Source organism: Homo sapiens, chromosome 10, assembly GCF_000001405.40.
Source record: "Homo sapiens chromosome 10, GRCh38.p14 Primary Assembly".
Classification (NCBI taxonomy): domain Eukaryota; kingdom Metazoa; phylum Chordata; class Mammalia; order Primates; family Hominidae; genus Homo; species Homo sapiens.
In genome coordinates, this window is record NC_000010.11 from 34,971,923 (window position 1) to 34,991,871 (window position 19,949).

Sequence of the window (19,949 nt, forward strand, 5' to 3'; positions counted from 1 at the left end):
ACAGTACCCGGTCCCCAGAGAAGCTCTTAAAGGTATCCAGGTCCATCTCAAGCACCTAAAAACTTTTGGAATTATAGTTCCTTGTCATTCTCCATGGAACACTCCCCTCCTGCCTGTTCCCAAGCCAGGGACCAAGGACTACAGGCTGGTACAGGATTTGCGCTTGGTTAATCAAGCTACAGTGACTTTACATCCAACAGTATCTAACCCGTGCACATTGTTGGGGTTGTTGCCAGCTGAGGACAGGTGGTTCACCTGCTTGGACCTGAAAGACGCTTTCTTTAGTATCAGATTAGCCCGTGAGAGCCAGAAGCTGTTTGCCTTTCAGTGGGAAGATCTGGAGTCAGTTATCACTACTCAATACACTTAGACCCGGCTTCCCCAAGGGTTCAAGGACTCCCCCACCATCTTTGGGGAGGCATTGGCTCGAGACCTCCAGGAATTTCCCACCAGACACCTAGGCTGTGTATTGCTCCAGTACGTTGATGACCTTTTGCTGGGACACCCCACAGCAGTTGGGTGCGCCAAGGGAATGGATGCCCTACTCCGGCACCTGGAGGACTGTGGGTATAAGGTGTCCAAGAAAAAAGCTCAGATCTCCCGACAGCAGGTACGTTACTTGGGATTTACTATCCGACAGGGGGAGCGCAGCCTGGGGTCAGAAAGAAAGCAGGTTATTTGCAATCTACTGGAGCCTAAGAGCAGAAGGCAGTTGACAGAATTCTTAGGAGCTGTGGGGTTTTGTAGACTGTGGATCCCAAACTTTGCAGTATTAGCCAAGCCTTTGAGGTCACAAAGAGGGAGGACCGGGAAATTTTTGAATGAGGATCCCAACAACAGCAAGCCTTTCATGAGTTAAAGGAAAAACTTACGTCAGCCCCAGCCCTGGGGCTACCCAATCTGACAAAGCCTTTTACATTGTATGTGTCAGAGAGAGAGAAAAGATGGCAGTTGGAGTTTTAACCCAAACTGTGGGGTCTAAAGGATGGCCCATGTTTGAGGGCCTTGGCAGCAACTGCCCTGCTAGTGAAGAAGCAAATAAGCTGACTCTTGGGCAAAACCTGAACATAAAGGCCCCCCATGCTGTGACTTTAATGAATACTAAAGGACATCATTGGCTAATGAATGCTAGACTCACCAAGTTCCAAAGTTTGCTCTGTGAAAATCCCCATATAACCGCTGAAGTTTGTAACATCCTGAACCCCACCACCTTGCTCCCGGTATCAGAGAGCACTGTCGAGCATGATTGTGTAGAAGTGTTAGACTCAGTTTACTCTAGCAGACCTGACCTCCGGGACCAGCCTTGGGCATCAGTAGACTGGGAACTACACGTGGACGGGAGCAGCTTCATCAACCCACAAGGAGAGAGAGGTGCAGGGTGTGCGGTGGTAACCCTGGACACTGTTGTTGAAGCCAGATCATTGCCCTAGGGCACTTCAGCCCAGAAAGCTGAACTCATTGCTTTAATTCGGGCCTTAGAACTCAGTGAAGGTAAGACTGTAAACGTTTACACTGATTCTCCGTATGCCTTTTTAACCCTTCAAGTGCATGGAACATGATATAAAGAAAAGGGCCTATTGAACTCTGGGGGAAAAGACATAAAATATCAACAAGAAATCTTGCAATTATTAGAAGCAGTATGGAAACCCCACAAGGTGTCAGTTATGCATTGCAGAGGACACCAGCGAGCTTCCACCTTGGTGGGTTTGGGGAATTCCCTCGCTGACCCAGAGGCTCGAAAAGCAGCAACTGCCCCCTTCCGGGCATCAGTCACAGCCCCTCTGCTCCCTCAAGCACCTGATCTTGCACCTACTTATTCTAAAGAAAAGGACTTTCTCCAGGAAGATGGAGGACAAGTGATGCAGGAAGGATGGATTTGGTTACCAGATGGGAGAGTAGCTGTGCCACAGCTGTTAGGAGCTGCAGTTGTACTGGCTGTGCATAAAACCACCCATCTAGGCCAGGAGTCACTTGAAAAGTTGTTAGGCTGGTATTTCTACATCTCACATTTGTCAGCCCCTGCCAAAATAGTGACGCAGCAGTGTGTTACCTGCTGACAGCATAATGCGAGGCAAGGTCCAGCCATTCCACCCGGCATACAGGCTTATGGAGCAGCCCCCTTTGAAGATCTCCAGGTAGATTCCACAGAGATGCCAAAGTGTGGAGGTAACAAGTATTTACTAGTTCTCATGTGTGCCTACTCTGGGTGGGTGGAGGCTTATCCAACATGAACTGAGAAAGCTCGTGAAGTAACCCGTGTGCTTCTTCGAGATCTTATTCCTAGATTTGGACTGCCCTTACGGATCGGCTCAGATAACGGGCCGGCATTTGTGGCTGACTTGATACAGAAGACAGCAAAGGTATTGGGGATCACATGGAAACTGCATGCCGCCTACCAGCCTCAGAATTCCGGAAAGGTGGAGTGGATGAATCGGACTATCAAAAATAGTTTAGGGAAAGTATGTCAGGATACAGGATTAAAATGGATATAGGCTCTCCCTATGGTATTATTTAAAATTAGATGTACCCCTTCTAAAAGAACAGGATATTCCCCTTATAAAATATTAGGCCCCCTCCCATATTGCGGGGACTTCCAGGCACTCCCCGAGAGTTAGGTGAAATTGAGTTACAGTGACAGCTACAGGCTCTAGGAAAAATTGCACAAACAATCTCAGCCTGGGTAAATGAGAGATGCCCTGTTAGCTTATTCTCCCCAGTTTACCCTTTCTCCCCAGGTGATCAAGTATGGATTAAAGACTGGAATGTAGCTTCTTTGTGCCCATGGTGGATAGGACCCCAGATTGTCATCCTGACCACTCTCACCGCTGTGAAGGTAGAAGGAATCCCAGCCTGGATCCACCACAGCCATGTAAAACCTGCAGCGCCTGAAACCTGGGAGGCAAGACCAAGCCCGGACAACCCTTGCAGAGTGACCTTGAAGATGATGACAAGCCCTGCTCCAGTCACACCCAGAAGCTGACTAGTCCATGCACGGCCGAAGCATGAGGAAGCTCATCGTGGAACTCATTTTTCTTAAATTTTGGACTTGTACAGTAAGGACTTCAACTGACCTTCCTCAGACTGAGGTAGGGCAAAAAGTTAAAACAGTCTTTCTGTTTAAAAGGGACTTGTGTGTATAATGCCACCCAGTACAAGGTATGCAGCTCAGGAAGTGACCAGACTCAAGTGTGCTACAACCCAGTAGAACTACTTAATCCCCATTGGAAAACAAGAGAGTATGTAACTCTAGGAGTCAATGGAATTGGACTGGCAGGAAGACCTAGGTAATGTAGGTGGAAGTGAGAACTCCCACTAGTGAGTGAGGTTCTCAAAGGGGAGAATGAGGAGGGAAGCCATTTCTCTTACTGTCTCCTGTCTCTGAAGAACAGGAGGAAGTAAAAGTTGAAAAACAACAGGAAGGAAGTCAGTGGCAAGACCAGCCAGTGCCACTGATGACCTGGCCTGAGGTTAAAAGGTTAACCACCCCCCTCTCCTCTAACCACATGTGCTCTCAATCCATCACGACCCTTTCATGTGGAACCCCTTAGAGTTGTAAGCCCTTAAAAGGGCCAGGAACTCTGTCTTCGGGGAGCTCGGCTCTTAAGATGCGAGTCTGCCAACGCTCCCAGCCAAATAAAAACCTCTTCCTTCTTCAATCCAGTGTCTGAGGAGTTTTGTCTGTGGCCCGTCCTGCTACAGCACAATTGTAGCCCACTGTAACCTCGAATTCCTAGGCTCAAGTGATCCTCCCACCTCAGCCTCCTGAGTAGAGTAGCTAGGATTACAGGCATGTGCCACCATGCCAAGCTAATTTTCTTTAGAGACAAGGTCTTGCTATGTTGCCCAGGGTGGTCTCAAACTCCTGGGCTCTTGGCCTCTCAAAATGTTGGATTTTAGGATTATAAGCATGAACCACTGTACCCGGACTGCTCTTTCTTACAAAAAAAAGTATTTTCCCATTAGAAAATATAGTGAATTTGATAAATACAAAAAAAGGTGGAAAGACCTCTCCCTCTCCCTCTCCCTCCTCTCCCTCTCCATCTCCCCACTCCCTCTCTCTCCACGGTCTCCCTCTGATGCTGAGCCGAAGCTGGACTGTACTGCCGCCATCTCAGCTCACTGCAACCTCCCTGCCTGATTCTCCTGCCTCAGCCTGCCGAGTGCCTGGGATTGCAGGCGCACACCGCCACGCCTGACTGGTTTTCGTATATTTTTGGTGGAGACGGGGTTTTGCTGTGTTGGCCGGGCTGGTCTCCAGCTCCTAACCGTGAGTGATCTGCCAGCCTTGGCCTCCCGAGATGCTGGGATTGCAGACGGCGTCTCGTTCACTTAGTGCTCAATGTTGCCCAGGCTGGAGTGCAGTGGCGTGATCTCGGCTCGCTACAACCTCCACCTCCCAGCCGCCTGCCTTGGCCTCCCAAAGTGCCGAGATTGCAGCCTCTGCCTGGCCGCCACCCCCTCTGGGAAGTGAGGAGCGTCTCTGCCTGGCCGCCCATCGTCTGGGATGTGAGGAGCCCCTCTGCCCAGCTGCCCAGTCTGGGAAGTGAGGAGCGCCTCTTCCCGGCCGCCATCCCATCTAGGAAGTGAGGAGCATCTCGGCCTGGCCGCCCATCGTCTGAGATGTGGGGAGCGCCTCTGCCCCGCCGCCCCGTCTGGGATGTGAGGAGCGCCTCTGCCCGGCCGCGACCCCGTCTGGGAGGTGAGGAGCATCTCTGCCCGGCCGCCCGGTCTGAGAAGTGAGGAGCCCCTCCGCCCGGCAGCCACCCTGTCTGGGAAGTGAGGAGCCCCTCCGCCCAGCAGCTGCCCCATCTGGGAAGTGAGGATCGTCTCTGCCCAGCAGCCGCCCCGTCTGGGAGGTGTACCCAACAGCTCATTGAGAATGGGCCATGATGACGATGGCGGTTTTGTCAAATAGAAAAGGGGGAAATGTGGGGAAAAGATACAGAAATCAGATTGTTGCTGTGTCTGTGTAGAAAGTAGAAGACATGGGAGACTCCATTTTGTTCTGTACTAAGAAAAATTCTTCTGCCTTGGGATGGTGTTAATCTATAACCTTACCCCCAACCCCATGCTCTCTGAAACATGTGCTGTGTCCACTCAGGGTTAAATGGATTAAGGGAGGTGCAAGATGTGCTTTGTTAAACAAATGCTTGAAGGCAGCATACTCATTAAGGGTCATCACCACTCCCTAATCTCAAGTACCCAGGGACACAAACACTGCGGAAGGCCACAGGGTCCTCTGCCTAGGAAAACCAGAGACCCTTGTTCACTTGTTTATCTGCTGACCTTCCCTCCACTATTGTCCTATGACCCTGCCAAATCCCCCTCTGCGAGAAACACCCAAGAATGATCAATAAATACTAAAAAAAAAAAAAAAAAAAGGTGGAAAGAATAAAGTATTGTCTTTTGTCCTGCCCCGCAAAGCCACCACTGTTAACCATTTGCTGTTTCACTTCAGGCTTTGTTTGTAAATGATTTTGTATGGACTCTTTCTGCTATACCACAGTCACCTCTTGGGGCAGAACTAGGGACAGAAAGACAATGGGGCCAGGTGAGGTGGCTCACACCTGTAATCTCAGGAATTTTGGAGGCTGAGGCAGGAGAATCCCTTGAGTTTAGGAGTTCAAGGCCAGGCCGGGCAACATAGTGAAACCCTGTCTCTTTAAAAAATAAAAAAATTAACTGGGCATGGTGGTGGACACCTGTAATTCTGGGGGGCTGAAATGGGAGGATTGCTTGAACCCAGGAGGCCAAGGCTGCAGTGGGTCATGATGGTGCCACTGCACTCCAGCCTGGGCAACAGAGTGAGACCCTGTCTCAGGGAGAAAAAAAAAAAATGGGAAGAAGAGAAGAAAGAAAGAAGCAAATATGTCCAGTGGGTGTGGGACTGATGTGAGCCAGGAGAGGTTAGCTGAGAAAGTCGGTGTTTCATCCATCCTTTTGAGGACCTCTTTTTTTTTTTTTTTTTTTTTTGAGCCCCTAGTACCTGCATTGTGAAAATATAGATGCTAAGATAAAGCCAGGGCTGGGTGTGGTGGCGCATGCCTGTAATCCCAGCTATTCAGGAGGCTGTCAAGAGAATTGCTTGAACCTGGGAGGTGGAGGTTGCAGTGAGCCAAGATCACGCTCCAGCCTGGGTGACAGAGTGAGACTCTGTCTCAAAAAATAAATAAATAAATAAGTAAAAAATAAAAAACTGAGAGCAGAGAAAAAATGAAGGAACTGGCCATTTCAACACTGCGACAGGTGCTAGGACAGACAGTGAGAAAGCACAGCGGGCTGAAGAAGCCCTACAAGGAGGTGGGATCAGAGAGGCCCCTGGGGGAACGGCCCAGAGCTGAGTCGTGATCAGCAGGTGATGGCTGGAGGGGCATTCCTGCAGAAGGGATTGCAGAAGTAGAGATAGTTTAGTGTAGTGGAGCTGGGAAGGGCCAGGTGTGTAATGTACAAGGAATTTTGACTTGATCCCGAGGGTAACGTGAAGCTCTTGAAAGTTCCAAGGCAGGAAATTGACACGATTGGATTTGCACTCTGACAATGACCAAGTCTGGCTGCTGGGGGTAAACCATTAGGAGTAGAGGAGGCGGAGGGGAGTCTGGAGATTGGAGAATTTGTTACGGGACTGTTGCATGTATCCCAGAGAGACAAGGCAGTGGCGTGAACTAAGGTTGTAGGGATGGAGGGACATGGGTGGATTTTTAAGAGGCTACAGATATAGAATCGGTAACTGAATGGGGATCAGAATGGCTCACACATGGAGGCCTGGGCATTTATTGATTCAAGATTCCTCACTGGCCCTCCTTTACAAAGATTTAGGCTTCTGGGCTTGGCATGGGGATCCTCAATGGCATCACTTCAACCTTGCTTTGTCATCTCTCTCTCTTTCCCTTCTCTACTTGTACTTAAAGTGCATTGGAATTTGGTGATTCCCTGGGCATGCTGTCCCTTCATCTCACGTCCTTCTCCTCATACCTGGGCTTCTGAAAGCATCTCCATCCTTCAAGCCCAGCCCAATGCCACATCTCTAAAGAAAGCCTTGGGGCGCCAGCCCTCCCCTCCTTCCCACTACTCTTTTGTAACAAATCTTCTAGCAAGTTGCGTCTCCACCTGAGGAAACACTCACCACATTCTGCATTGTACTTCTTGTGGAGAAAAAAAAAAGTACTTTTTATGGCTGATTTTTTTTTTTTTTTTTTGAGACAGAGTCATATTTTGTTGCCCAGGCTGGAGTGCAGTAGCGCGATCTTGGCCCACTGCAACCTCTGCCTCCCAGGTCCAGGCAATTCTCTTGCCTCAGCCTCCCGAGTAGCTGGGATTACAGGCACATGCCACCACACCCTGCTGCATTTTTGTACTTTTAGTAGAGATGGGGTTTCACCATGTTGGCCAGGCTGGTCTCAAACTCCTGACCTCAGGTGATCCACCCGCCTCAGCTTCCCAAAGTGTCGGGATTACAGGCATGAGCCATGGCGCCTGGCCAGCTGATTTTTACTACAAAGTTAAAGCCTCCTCAAAAGCTGACACCACACCTGTCTTGGAAGCTCAAGGAATGTTTGTCAAATTCAAATGAGCACTCCCCAGAAAACCCAAATTCTGAGCCAAGAAGGTTTGTGAAATAAAAAAGAATCAGGCGGGCACAGGGGTTCAGCTGGGGAAATAGACTAAAACAGTGAGAAGACCCTGAAGGCAGGAAGGACCAGCAAGGGTAGGGTTGGTGATAAGGCCGTGACCTTGGGCATAGGATACAGGTTGATGCCCTGGTTTGAGGCCCCGGCTGTGTGCTGTGGTCCTTAGGATTGTGAGGGCCTCCACCCAGAAGCAGAGACCTCAGATGCTGTTAGACCCCGAATAGCATGGAGGGAAGTGTGTGGAGTCAGGCCCTAAGCCGCTGGGTTAGAGTACAGAGGGTTTTCTGAAACAGTGAAATCCCGTCATCTCCTTCCAGAATATGAACCATGCCTCCTCCTCTAAACTTCCCTGAACGTGTCTGTTTGTTTGTTTTTAAGACACGGTCTTACTTTGTCACCCAGGCTGGAGTGCATTAGTGCAATCTTGGCTCACTGCAGCCTTGAACTCCTGGGCTCAAGTGATCTTCTTGCCTTAGCCTCCCAAGTAACTAGGACCACAGGTGTGTGCCACTACACCTGGCTAAATTTCTTATTTTTTGTGGAGGATGGGGTCTCACTATGTTGCCCAGGCTGGTCTCAAACTCCTGAGCTCAAGCCATCCTCCCATTTCAGCCTCCCAAAGTGCTGGGTTTACAGGCGTGAGCCATTGAGCCTGGCTCCCTGAGCCCTCACTATCAACTTTCACCACATGTAGGGCCCTGCAGTGACCACAGGCCAGGCCGCCACTGTCAGGAGCTCCCATAGCTTAGCCTCAATGCAACTCTTTCTAGCTGAGCATCTCTCTTTCAAAACAGAGGTGGAGGAAGTGGGTGAGGAGAGACCTGCATTGAGAGGGTGCTCTAAGGACAATCCTGGCCTGAGTAGAGGTCTGATGTTCTGAGTGTCACCTTATGAGCCATCAGAAACTAAGGTAAACCTTTGTTCTTCCCAGATTGTACCTTCTGAACAGAGAAATGAAGGACCAATTAAGAGAAGTTCCACAAGATGCATTCTAGATAAGAAATCTAGGGCCAGGCACAGTGGCTCATGACTGTAAACCCAGCTGTTTGGGAGGCCAAGGCAGGAGGATCGCTTGGGGCCAGGAGTTTGAGACCAGCCTGGGCAACATTGCCTGACTCCTGTCTCTACAAAAAAATATTTTAAAAATTAGCCCAGTGTGGTAGTGTGCACCTGTGGTCCCAGCTACTCAAGAGGCTGAGGCAGGAGGATCGCTTGACCCCAGGAGTTTGAGGCTGCAGTAAGCTATGATCACTACACTCCAACCTGGGTGACAAAGTGTGAGACCCTATCTCTAAAAAAATCAAAAAATTAGAAAAAAAAATTTTTTTTTTTTTGAGATGGAGTCTTGCTCTGTTGCCCAGGCTTGAGTGCAATGGTGCGATCTCAGCTCACTGCAGCCTCTGCCTCCCGGGGTCAAGCAATTCTCCTGCCTCAGCCCCTGAGTAGCTGGGATTACAGACACATGCCACCACACCCAGCTAATTTTTGTATTTTTAGTAGAGATAAGGTTTCCATGTTGGCCAGGCTGGTCTCGAACTCCTGACCTCAAATGATCCCCCACCTTGGCCTCCCAAAGTGCTGGGATTATAGGCGTGGGCCACTATGCCCAGCAAAAATTTTAAATAATGCTTCCTAGCACTCTGGGTATTATATCACAGAGGCCAGAGGCAGTAACTGGGAGAATGTGGGATTCTGGAGTAGAGATGGGAATGATGGGAACAGAGGAAAGAGTAAGACCATGGTAAAGTGTCCCAAACCCTGCATGCCTCAGACAACAGCGGTCTCTGAGCCCCATCCTTGTGGCCAGGCACAGCTCAGGTCAGCAGGAACAAACAGTAAGTAAATAACTGCTAAGATAAGGAACCCTGGGAGAAGAGGGGGCACCCATCAAGAGGGCGAGTTGAAGATACAGGAATGGGAAGGAATCCAGAGCATGAGAGATGGGAAAATGAATCCCCCTCCTATTCCAAGAAAGAGGAGGTGGTGTGAACCAGGCAGAAGCTGGTAGGACTGCAGGTTTGGGGGCTGGAAACAGAGGCATCTCCAAATAAGTGCTTCTCCATGCGGCGTGTTCACTTTTCTCTAGTTCACATGAGGCTCCTCCTGTGGCTTTGGTTGTTACTGGAGCCCATTCACCCACATTGCTGCACGTAGCTGGAGTTTATCTTCATTGCTTCCGATGAATACAATTTTCATTGCACCACTTATCCATTCTGCTGTTGATGGACATTTGAGTTCCTTCCAGTCCTGGGATATATCAAATAATGCTGCTATGTATATTCTTTTTTGTGTGTGTGTGTGTTCTTAAATTTATCTTTATTAATTTTTTTTCTTTAGAAATGGGGTTTTGCTCTATCTACAGGTAAGTGCCATGATACTCAGCTAATTTTTAAAATTTTTGTAGAGATCGGGGTCTCACTATGTTGCCCACTTCTTTTCATTGCTATGAGCATATTTTGGGGGGGTGTATATCTAGGAGTAGAACTGCTGAGTCATAGGGTATGCACATTTTCAACTTTAGAAGACAGTGCCACACTGTTTCCTAAAGAGACTGTTCCAACTAACTCCCACCAGTAATGCATGAAATTTTCAGTTGCTTCACTCCTCAAATAGCCCGTTTTTAAAATTCTAACCATTCTGGTGAGTGGGTAATGGTATTTCATTGTGATTTAAATTTTTATTTCCCTAATTACTAATGAAGTTGAGCATCATTTCATATGTTTATTGACCATCTGGATTTCTGCTTTTATAAAATTCAGTCTCTTCCCAAATTTTCAATTGGGTTATCTGTCTTTTTCTTAATGATTTGTAGCAATTCTTTTTTTTTTTTTTTTTTTTTTTTTGAGACGGAGTCTCGCTCTGTCGCCCAGGCTGGAGTGCAGTGGCGGGATCTCGGCTCACTGCAAGCTCCGCCTCCCGGGTTCACGCCATTCTCCTGCCTCAGCCTCCCAAGTAGCTGGGACTACAGGCGCCCGCCACTACGCCCGGCTAATTTTTTGTATTTTTAGTAGAGACGGGGTTTCACCGTTTTAGCCGGGATGGTCTCGATCTCCTGACCTCGTGATCCGCCCGCCTCGGCCTCCCAAAGTGCTGGGATTACAGGCGTGAGTCACCGCGCCCGGCCTGTAGCAATTCTTTCAATATTCTCAGTATAATCCTTTTGTCAGTTACACCTGTTGTATCTTTTCCCAGTCTGTGGCTGGCTGGCCTTATTTATTTTGCTCATAGTGTCTTTTCATGAGAACTCTTTAATGTAGGCAAATGTATTGATCTTTTTTAAAAAAAATAGCATTAATGCAAGATCATGAAATTCTATATCACCCTCTAAAAGCTTTATTTTTCTGCCTATCATATTTTTTTCTACAGCCTCTCTAGGATTGACTTTTATGCATGGTGTTAGGTGGGGGACAAATTTCGGGTTTTTTTTTTCCTTATGGATGTCCAGTTATTCCAGGATCATTTATTTTAAAGTACATCTTTTCCCCACTTCTTTGCAGTGACACCTCTGTGAAGAATCAATGTCCAGCCAGGCACGGTGGCTCATGCCTGTAATCCCAGCACTTTGGGAGGCCGAGGTGGGCGGATCATGAGGTCAGGAGTTCGAGACCAGCCTGGCCAACATGGTGAAACCCCGTCTCTACTAAAGATACAAATAATTAGCTGGGCATGGTGGCACACACCTGTAGTCCCAGCTACTTGGGAGGCTGAGGCACAAGAATCGCTTGAACCCGGAAGGTGGAGGTTGCAGTGAGCCAAGACTGCACCACTGCATTCCAGCCTGGGCGACAGGGCGAGGCTCTGTCTCAAAAAAAAAAAAGGATCAATGTCCATGCATTTAAGGATCTGTGTCTGTGCCCTCTATTCTGTTCTATTGCTGATTGTTAGACCATCATAGCATTGGCTTATTATTGTACAATTTTATAAGTCTTGATGCTTAGAAGAGTCTTTCCATCTTGCTTTACTTCAAAGAGGGATCTTCTTTTCTTTCTTTTTTTTTTTTTTTTGAGATGGAGTTTCACTCTTGTCACCCAGCAGGCGGGAGTGCAGTGGCAAGATCTCGGCTCACTGCAACCTCCGCCTCCCAAGTTCAAGCGATCCTTTTGCTTCAGCCTCCTGAGTAGCTGGGATTACGGATGCCCGCCACCACACCCAGCTAATTTTTTGTATTTTTAGTAGAGACAGGCTTTCAATATGTTGGCTGGGCTAGTCTCCAACTCCTGACCTCAGGTGATCCACCAGCCTTGGCCTCCCAAAATATTGTGATTACAGGCATGAACCACCATACCTAGCCCTCTTTTTTTTTTTTTTTTTTTCTTTATTGAGACAGGGTCTCACTCTGTCACCCAGGCTGGATCACAGTGTGCAACCATAGCTCATTGCACCCTTGAATTCTTGGGCTCAAGAATCCTCCTGCCTCAGCCTCCTGAGTAGCTAGGACTACAGGCATGTGCCACCATGCCCAGCTAACTTTAAAAAAATATTTTGGCCAGGTGCAGTGGCTCTGGCCTGTAATCCCAGCACTTTGGGAGGCTGAGGCAGGTGGATCACGAGGTCAGGAGATCAAGACCATCCTGGACAACATGGTGAAACCCCATCTCTACTAAAAATACAAAAATTAGCTGGGCGCAGCAGCACATGCCTATAGTCCCAGCTACTCGGGAGGCTGAGGCAGGAGAATTGCTTGAACCCGGGAGGCAGAGGCTGCAGTGATCTGAGATCATGCCACTGCCCTCCAGCCTGAGCGACAGAGTGAGACTCCATCTCAAAAAAAAAAAAAAATCAGATTGTCAAAAAAAATCTCTTAAGATAGAATAACACTGCATCTATACATCAATTTAGGGATACCTATATCTTTACAATAGTGAGTCTTTCAATTCATAAGCATGGTATATCTCTCTCCATTTATTTAGCTGTTTTTAGTTTCTTGAAAAGCTATTTTACAGTTCTCTATATAGGGATCTTACTCATGTTTTATAAGGTTAATTTTTAGGTACTTTGTATTTTTCATATCACTATAAGGGGTATCCTATTTCAAATCATTTAACCAGCATTTGTAACTAAACTTTTGTATACTGACTTTGTATTCAGCAACTTACTAATTTTAATAAGTTCTCTATAAATCTTAAAAGATTTTCTAAGTATATAATAGCATTGTATTCAAATAACAGTTGGTCTGTTCTTTGCAATTGTTGTGCCTCTGATTTCCTTTTCTTGATTTATGACACTGGCCAAGAAATGTTGAATAGCCATGGTGACAGCGGGTATCCTTATCTTGTTTCTGACATTAAAGAGAAAGCTTTCAACTCTTTGCCATTAAGTCTTTGGTATTCCCAGAGATTTACTAGGTCTGGCTGTGGATTTCTTTTTTATTTATCCTGTTTGGATTTGGGAATTTTCGGTCTTCTGAAAACTGTGGCTTTATGTCTTTTGTTAGTTTTGGAAAGTGTTCAGCTAAAACTCCTCAAATATTGCTTCTGCTCCCTTTTCTCCTTTATTTGTGGAACTCCAATTAAATCCATTTAGACCAGCACTAATACAACCTGCTGAATCTGTGTCCATGCTGGGGCTATTAAGCATTTGTGTTATATACTGGTATGTGACTATTAAGCATTTGAAATGTGGTTAGTGCAGTTGAGAAACTGAATTTTTACATTTTATTTAACTGCAATTAATTTAAATTTAAATAACCACATATGGCTAGTGGCTACCCTATTAAACAGTGCAGATTTAGAACCTTCCAACTCTGCCATAAATGTCTCTTGATCTCTCCTGTGTATGTTCTGTCCTTCCCATCTATCTTCCAGTGCCCTTATTCTCTCTTCAGTTGTGTCTAATCTACTGTTAAACACTTCTATTGTGTTCTGAATTTTATCTATTTTATTTTTCACTTCTAAAATTTCTTCTAATTTCTTGTGCTGGTTATCAATGTATTGCCTCTTGCCTCCAAATTCTTCCTTTTAGGCCAGGCATTGTAGCTCACGCGAGTAATCCAGCACTTGAGAGGCCAATGCAGGCAGATCACCTGAGCTCAGGAGTTCGAGACCAGCCTGGCTAACATGGTGAAACCCCGTCTTTACTAAAAATACAAAAATTAACTGGACATGGTGGTGGGCACCTGTAGTTCCAGCTACTTGTGAGGCTGAGGCAGGAGAATCACCTGAACCCAGGAGGCAGAGGTTGCAGTGAGCCGAGATCGTGCCATTGCACTCCAGCCTGGGCAAGAAGAGTGAAACTCCATCTCAAAAACAAAACAAAACAAACTCACCCCTTTCGATACTCTGTGAAAGTGGATCTTGTCCTTTAAGTATTTTTTTCCCATGCTAGCAGACACCAAGGCTTTCTAAGTACAGAATGATGGACAGACACTGCAGGTGAAGGTCCCAGTGTACAGGGCTGGGCAGGCTCTTGCAGAGTGCATAGCTTTTCTCGTGCAGGCTTCTGCAGTGAGTGCAGCTTCCTCAGCACCCAGCTCCAGCAATGGACCCAGTACTCCCTCCCCTGGCACTTTTGTAGTAGAGCATCTCATCTCTAGTGATGTCCTTTCCTGTGGACAGCTTTCCCCAGCACCCTAAAGGGCAGTGTATTAGTCTGTTTTCACACTGCTGATAAAGACATACTTGAGACCGGGCAATTTACAAAAGAAAGAGATTTAATGGACTTACAGTTCCATGTGGCTGGGGAGGCCTTACAATAACGGCAGAAGGCAAAAGGCACGTCTCACGTGGCGGCAGACAATAGAAGAGGGCTTATGCAGGGGAACTCCTCTTTTTAAAACCATCATATCTCGTAAGACTTATTCACTGTCACAAGAACACCATGGGAAAAGACCTGCCTCCATGATTCCATTACCTCCCACTGGGTCCCTCCCACAACATGTGGGAATTCAAGATGAGATTTGGGTGGGGACACAGCCAAATCATATCAGGCAGATTTCCAGCAGTTCCACCAGTGCAGCAGCTCAGCAACTTCTCTGCCTTCCAGTGAGCCAGAGCTGTCCATGGCCTCTCAACAGGGTCAGAATCTGAGCCCTGGGCGTGGGCTAAGGTGCTCAATCTCAGCCCTGGAGTTAGCGACTGCTCTTCAAATCTGCCAGCTCTATATTTTTTTTAGAGGCATTTACTTCATACTAGTCAATCCCTTGCTACTCTAATGATTTGGTTTTTTTGTTGTTGTTTTTTTTTTGGAGATGGAGTTTCGATCTTGTTATCTAGGCTGCAGTGCAGTGGCACAATCTCGGCTCACTGCAACCTCCACCTCCTGGGTTCAAACAATTCTCCTGCCTCAGACTCCCGAGTAGCTGGGATTACAGGTGCCCACCACCACGCCCTGCTAATTTTTTGTATTTTTAGTAAAGACGGGGTTTCACCACGTTGGCCAGGCTAGCCAGGCTGGTCTTGAACTCCTGACCTCAGGTGATCCACCCACCTCAGCCTCCCAAAGTGCTGGGATTACAGACGTGAGCCACTGCACCCAGCTCTAATCCTTTTCTAATCCTTTGTTATAGTAATTTTTTTTTTCTTTAGACAAGGTCTCTCTCTGTCACCCAGGCTTGAGTGCAGTGGTATGATCATGGCTCACTACAGCCTTGACCGGGCTCAATCAATCCACTCACCTCAGCCTCCTGAGTAGCTGGGATGACAGCCATACATCACCTGACCTGGCTAATTTTTGTATTTTTTTGTGGAGATGAGGAGTTGCCATGTTTCTCAGGGTGGTCACAAACTCCTCAGCTCAAGCGCTCCTCCTGCATTGGCCTTCCAAAGTGCTGGAATTACAGGTGTGAGCCACCGTGCCTGGCCAATAATTATTTATATTAAGTATCCCTGTTTAAATTACAATGTGTTTTCTCTCTTGTATTTGGACCTAGGCAGATATAATATTTTTTTTCAAATATGCAATGTCACTTTTTTCTTCCCCCTGAAACAGGGTCTCACTCTGTCCCCCAGGCTGGAGTGCAGTTATAGCTCACTGCAGCCTCAAATTTCTGGGTTCAAGTGAGCCTCCCACCTTAGCCTCTCAAAATGCTGGGATAACAGGAGTGAGTCACTATGCTCAGCTAATTTTAAAAACATTTTTTGACCTGGCGTGGTGGCTCGTGCCTGTAATCCGAGCACTTTGGGAGGCCGAGGCGGGCAGATTACTTAAGGTCAGGAGTTCGAGACCAGTCTGGTCGACATGGTGAAACCCCATCACTACTAAAAATACAAAAATTAGCCAGGCATGGTGGTGTGACCCTGTAATCCCAGCTACTTGGGGTACTGAGACACAAGAATTGATTGAACCTGGAAGGTGAAGGTTGCAGTGAGCCAAGATCACGCCATTGCATTCCAGCCTGAATGATGAGACTCTGTCTCAAAAAAAAAAAAAAAAAAAAAAAAAAAAAAACAATTTCTGCAGAGACAGAGTCTCACTATGTTGCTGAGGCTGGCCTTGAACACCTGGGTTGAAGTGATTCTCCTGTTTTAGCCTCCAAAATTGCTGGGATTATAGGCCTGAGCCACTGTGCCCAGCCCAGTGTAACTTTTTATAGTTATAGTTCCTTCCTGAAAATGTTGGTTTCCAGCTCCATGACATAATAGGCATAGTGAGTTTACAGTTTGTAACTAGTAGTTGCACTATCAGGAGTAGCTGTGAGTCTGTCCCTACTGTCTGCTGATACTGATTCTCATTATTTGGTCTTGTTTCCTCAAGCAGTAAATTGGATCTGATTTTGTGTTGGTCATTACAGTTTTTTTTTGTTTGTTTGTTTGTTTTTTTTTGAGACAGAGCTTTGCTCTGTAGCCCAGGCTGGAGTGTAGTGGCGTGATCTCGGCTCACTGAAACCTCCATCTCCCGGGTCCCAGCTCAAGCGATTCTCCTGCCTCAGCCTCCTGAGTAGCTGGGATTACAGGCACGTACCACCATGCCCAGCGAATTTTTGTATTTTAGTAGAAACAGGGTTTTACAATGTTGGCCAGGCTGGTCTCCAACTCCTGGCCTCAAGTGATCCACCCACCTCAGCCTCGCAAAGTGCTGGGATTACAGGCATGAGCCACCACACCTGGCTAATTCTCTATTTAATCCTATCTAGACAGCGAGTTACTTGAGGGCAAGTAACTCTTTGTATCCGTGGTGTCTATCATGGTGCCTTGCACCTAGGAGACATCCAATAACTGCTATGTGAATGAAGGAATGGTTAAGAAAGGATTTATTCTGATTTCTTAAATTTTGACATTTCCTCCAAAAAGGTGATCTTATCTTTGGGAGCAAGAGTTCAATCTGTTTTTCAAGGACTGAATCTTAAGGATTGAACCTACAGAGCCTGCTCAGGCTTGCCGTAGATGCTTTTCTTCTGCTTTCTCATAGAGCTAATCTCTGCTTCACAGAGAGCTTTTCTTTCCAGGTATTCATGTTTCAACAAGTCAGGAAGCAAATGATTTGACGTTAATTTGGTGTCAAAAAGAAGTCAGCCCAGGATCCCAAAAATAGGTTTTAAAAAATCAATGCATGGAGATCAATTTACTTTAAAATACTGTAACTTTCTTTAAGATACTTTGGCAAGGATAATGTGATGTATGTAGGCATGCCTGCATATGTGTGTGTGTGTATGTTCATTTAAGATACACTTCAGGGAAGTCAATGTCTTTAATCAGGAACTTGCTCTTCAAGAGTGGTCAGCTAACATTTCACCTTAAGGCTGCACAGCAGAGTCAGCTACCACAAAGGCTTCACTGTACATACGTTGATCAATAGGAGTGGGGTTTTAGCAGCAAAATGAATGTCATAAATCGGTTTCATTTGTAAAATTAGTGGCTTGCTAAACAGTATGATGAATGTCAGAAATGGGCTCCTTTCCTACAAAGAAAACACCAAGCCCAGTTAGTTTCACAGGCAAGTCAACTTTTTTGAAAAATGTCATTCTAATTTTATAGATTTTCCTAGAGAGTAGAGAAAAAAAGATTACTTCCCAACTCATTTCATGAGGCCCATATAAATTCCATTAAAATAATTAGTATCCTTTAAAATCAGGAAGAAGACCAAGATCACCATGTCTATTCCATATATTTCGGCCAATACAAGGAAAACAAATTCAAGTCAAAGGCCTGAAAGGGAGGAAATAAAACTGTAATTATTTTGTGATTGTATGAATCCTCTCCTAGAAGACTGAATATATAAAGGAGAGAGTTTAGCAAGATGATAAACAGAAGATCCACATATAATATGCGACAATGCATTCTATTCACCAGCAACAGTATTACTTCTTTACTATTTATTTCATTTATTTTACACTGGCATTTCCTCTCTTTAATGTTGTTTTTTGTTTTTTTGTTTTTTTGCTGATGTGATCACATCCTCCTTTATTTTACCTTTCCTACTTGTTATTTTGGTGAGTGGCCAGCAAGTTGCTTTCCAGCTGGAAAGATGGATGGTGAGGGACCACTTAGTGATGCTGAGGAACTGACCCTGACTCCCGCTCTCACTCCAAAGATGTGGCCTTCCTGGCTCTAAAATTGACTCAAGAAATGCAGACCCCCAAAATTAGATTTTAAATGTTCTCACCACAAAGATCTGGGCATGGTGGCTCATGCCTGTAATCCCAGCACTTTGGGAGGCCAAGGCAGGCAGATCACTTGAGGTCAGGAGTTCAAGACCAGCCTGGGTAATATAATGAAACCCTGTCTCTACTAAAAATACAAAAATTAGCCGGGTGTGGTGGCACATGCCTGTAATCCCAGCTACTCGGGAAGCTGAGGTGGAAGGATCGCTTGAACCTGGGAGGCAGAGGTTGCAGTGAGTCTACATAGCGCCACTGCACTCCAGCCTGGGCGGAGAGCGAGATCTGTCTCAGAAAAAAAAACGTTCTCACCACAAAGGAATGACAGTATGTGAGGTGATAGATATGTTCATTAGCTTGATTTAATCAGTCCACATCATCAACATGTATCAAATCACATTGTACTCCACGAATACATACAATTATTACTTGTCAATTAAAATTAAAATTAGGGGCCCAGCATGGTGGCTCACACCTGTAATCCCAGCACTTTGGGAGGCTGAGGTGGGCAGATCACGAGGTCAGGAGATCAAGACCCTCCTGGCTAACACGGTGAAACCCCGTCTCTACTAAAATACAAAAATTAGTCGGGCATGGAGGCGGGCACCTGTAGTCCCAGCTACTCAGGAGGCTAAGGCAGGAGAATCACTTGAACCCGGGAGGCGGAGGTTGCAGTGAGCCAAAATCGTGCCACTGCACTTCAGCCTGGGCAACAGAGCAAAACTCCATCTCAAAAAAAAAAAAAAAAAATTAAAAATTAAATAAAATAAGATTAGGTCAGGTTCTATGGCTCCTGTCTGTAATCCCAGTGCTTTGGTTGGTTGGTTGGTTGGTTGGTTGGTTGGTTGGTTGGTTGATTTATTTGTTTATTTATTTATTTATTTATTTATTTTCGAGACAGAGTTTTCCTCTTGTCGCCCAGGCTGGAGTCCAATGGTGGGATCTTGGCTCACTGCAACTTCTGCCTCCTGGGTTCAAGTAATTCTCCTGCCTCAGCCTCCCGAGTAGCTGGGATTACAGGCAAGTGCTACTACACCCTGCTAATTTTGTATTTTTAGTAGAGACAGGGTGACAGGGTTTCACCATGTTGGCCAGGCTGGTCTTGAACTCCTGACCTCAGGTGATCTGCCTGTCTCAGCCTCCCAAAGTGCTGGGATTACAGGTATGAGCTACCGAACCTGGCCTATAATCCCAGGGCTTTAGGAAGCCCAGGCAGAAAAAATACTTGAGGCCAGGAGTTGAAAACCAGCCTGGGCAACATAGCAAGACCCCATCTTTACAAAAAATTTTATAATTGGCCAAGTATGGTGGCACATGCCTGTGGTCCCAGCTACTCAGAGGTTCAGGCAGGAGGACTGTTTGAGCCCAGGAGTTTGAGGCTGCAGTGAACTATGATCATGCCACTGCACTCCAGCCTGGGTGACAGAGGGAGACCCTGTCTCTAAAAAAAAATGAAATAAAAACAAATTAAAATTTAAAGACCCTCATAACTAGTTAGATGGTACATTTAAACCTAAATAGATTAATACTTTTATTAAACATTAATGTCATAAATACTCCAATAAAAAGACAGATTGTCACACACATATACACACACACATACAAACACACACACACACACACAAACAAGCAGCTCCTCATGTTTGTATCCATTCATTACATGGAAGTATTAAGGTCATTTATATAAATTTTTCCTGAACAGAATGCAAGTTCTAAAAAATAAAGGTCTGTTAAACACCCTAGAATTAAACCTCTCAAATCAGGCAAGATTCTATCAGCACCAAAAA

At 46.1% G+C, this 19,949-nt stretch overlaps 1 long non-coding RNA gene across 3 annotated transcripts, besides 1 other annotated feature; it reads left to right on the plus strand.

Moving 5' to 3' along the window:
* Nucleotides 1–1,095: 1,095 nt before the first annotated feature.
* On the plus strand, nt 1,096–3,656 carry LINC02635 (long intergenic non-protein coding RNA 2635). 3 transcript variants are annotated; one of them, XR_007062109.1, is made up of 3 exons: nt 1,103–2,166; nt 2,272–2,360; nt 2,736–3,656. It is a non-coding gene; the product is annotated as a long intergenic non-protein coding RNA 2635 (long non-coding RNA). The 3 variants fall into 3 exon arrangements; XR_001747419.1 differs by having other exon boundaries at nt 1,096–2,166; nt 2,251–3,656; XR_001747418.1 differs by having other exon boundaries at nt 1,096–2,166; nt 2,272–3,656.
* Nucleotides 9,665–9,865: a silencer, noted in NCBI's record as "peak929 fragment used in MPRA reporter construct". NCBI's record gives its function as "represses an SCP1 promoter by STARR-seq MPRAs in K562 erythroleukemia cells {active_cell/tissue: K562}" and the evidence as "EXISTENCE:reporter gene assay evidence [ECO:0000049][PMID:32103011]".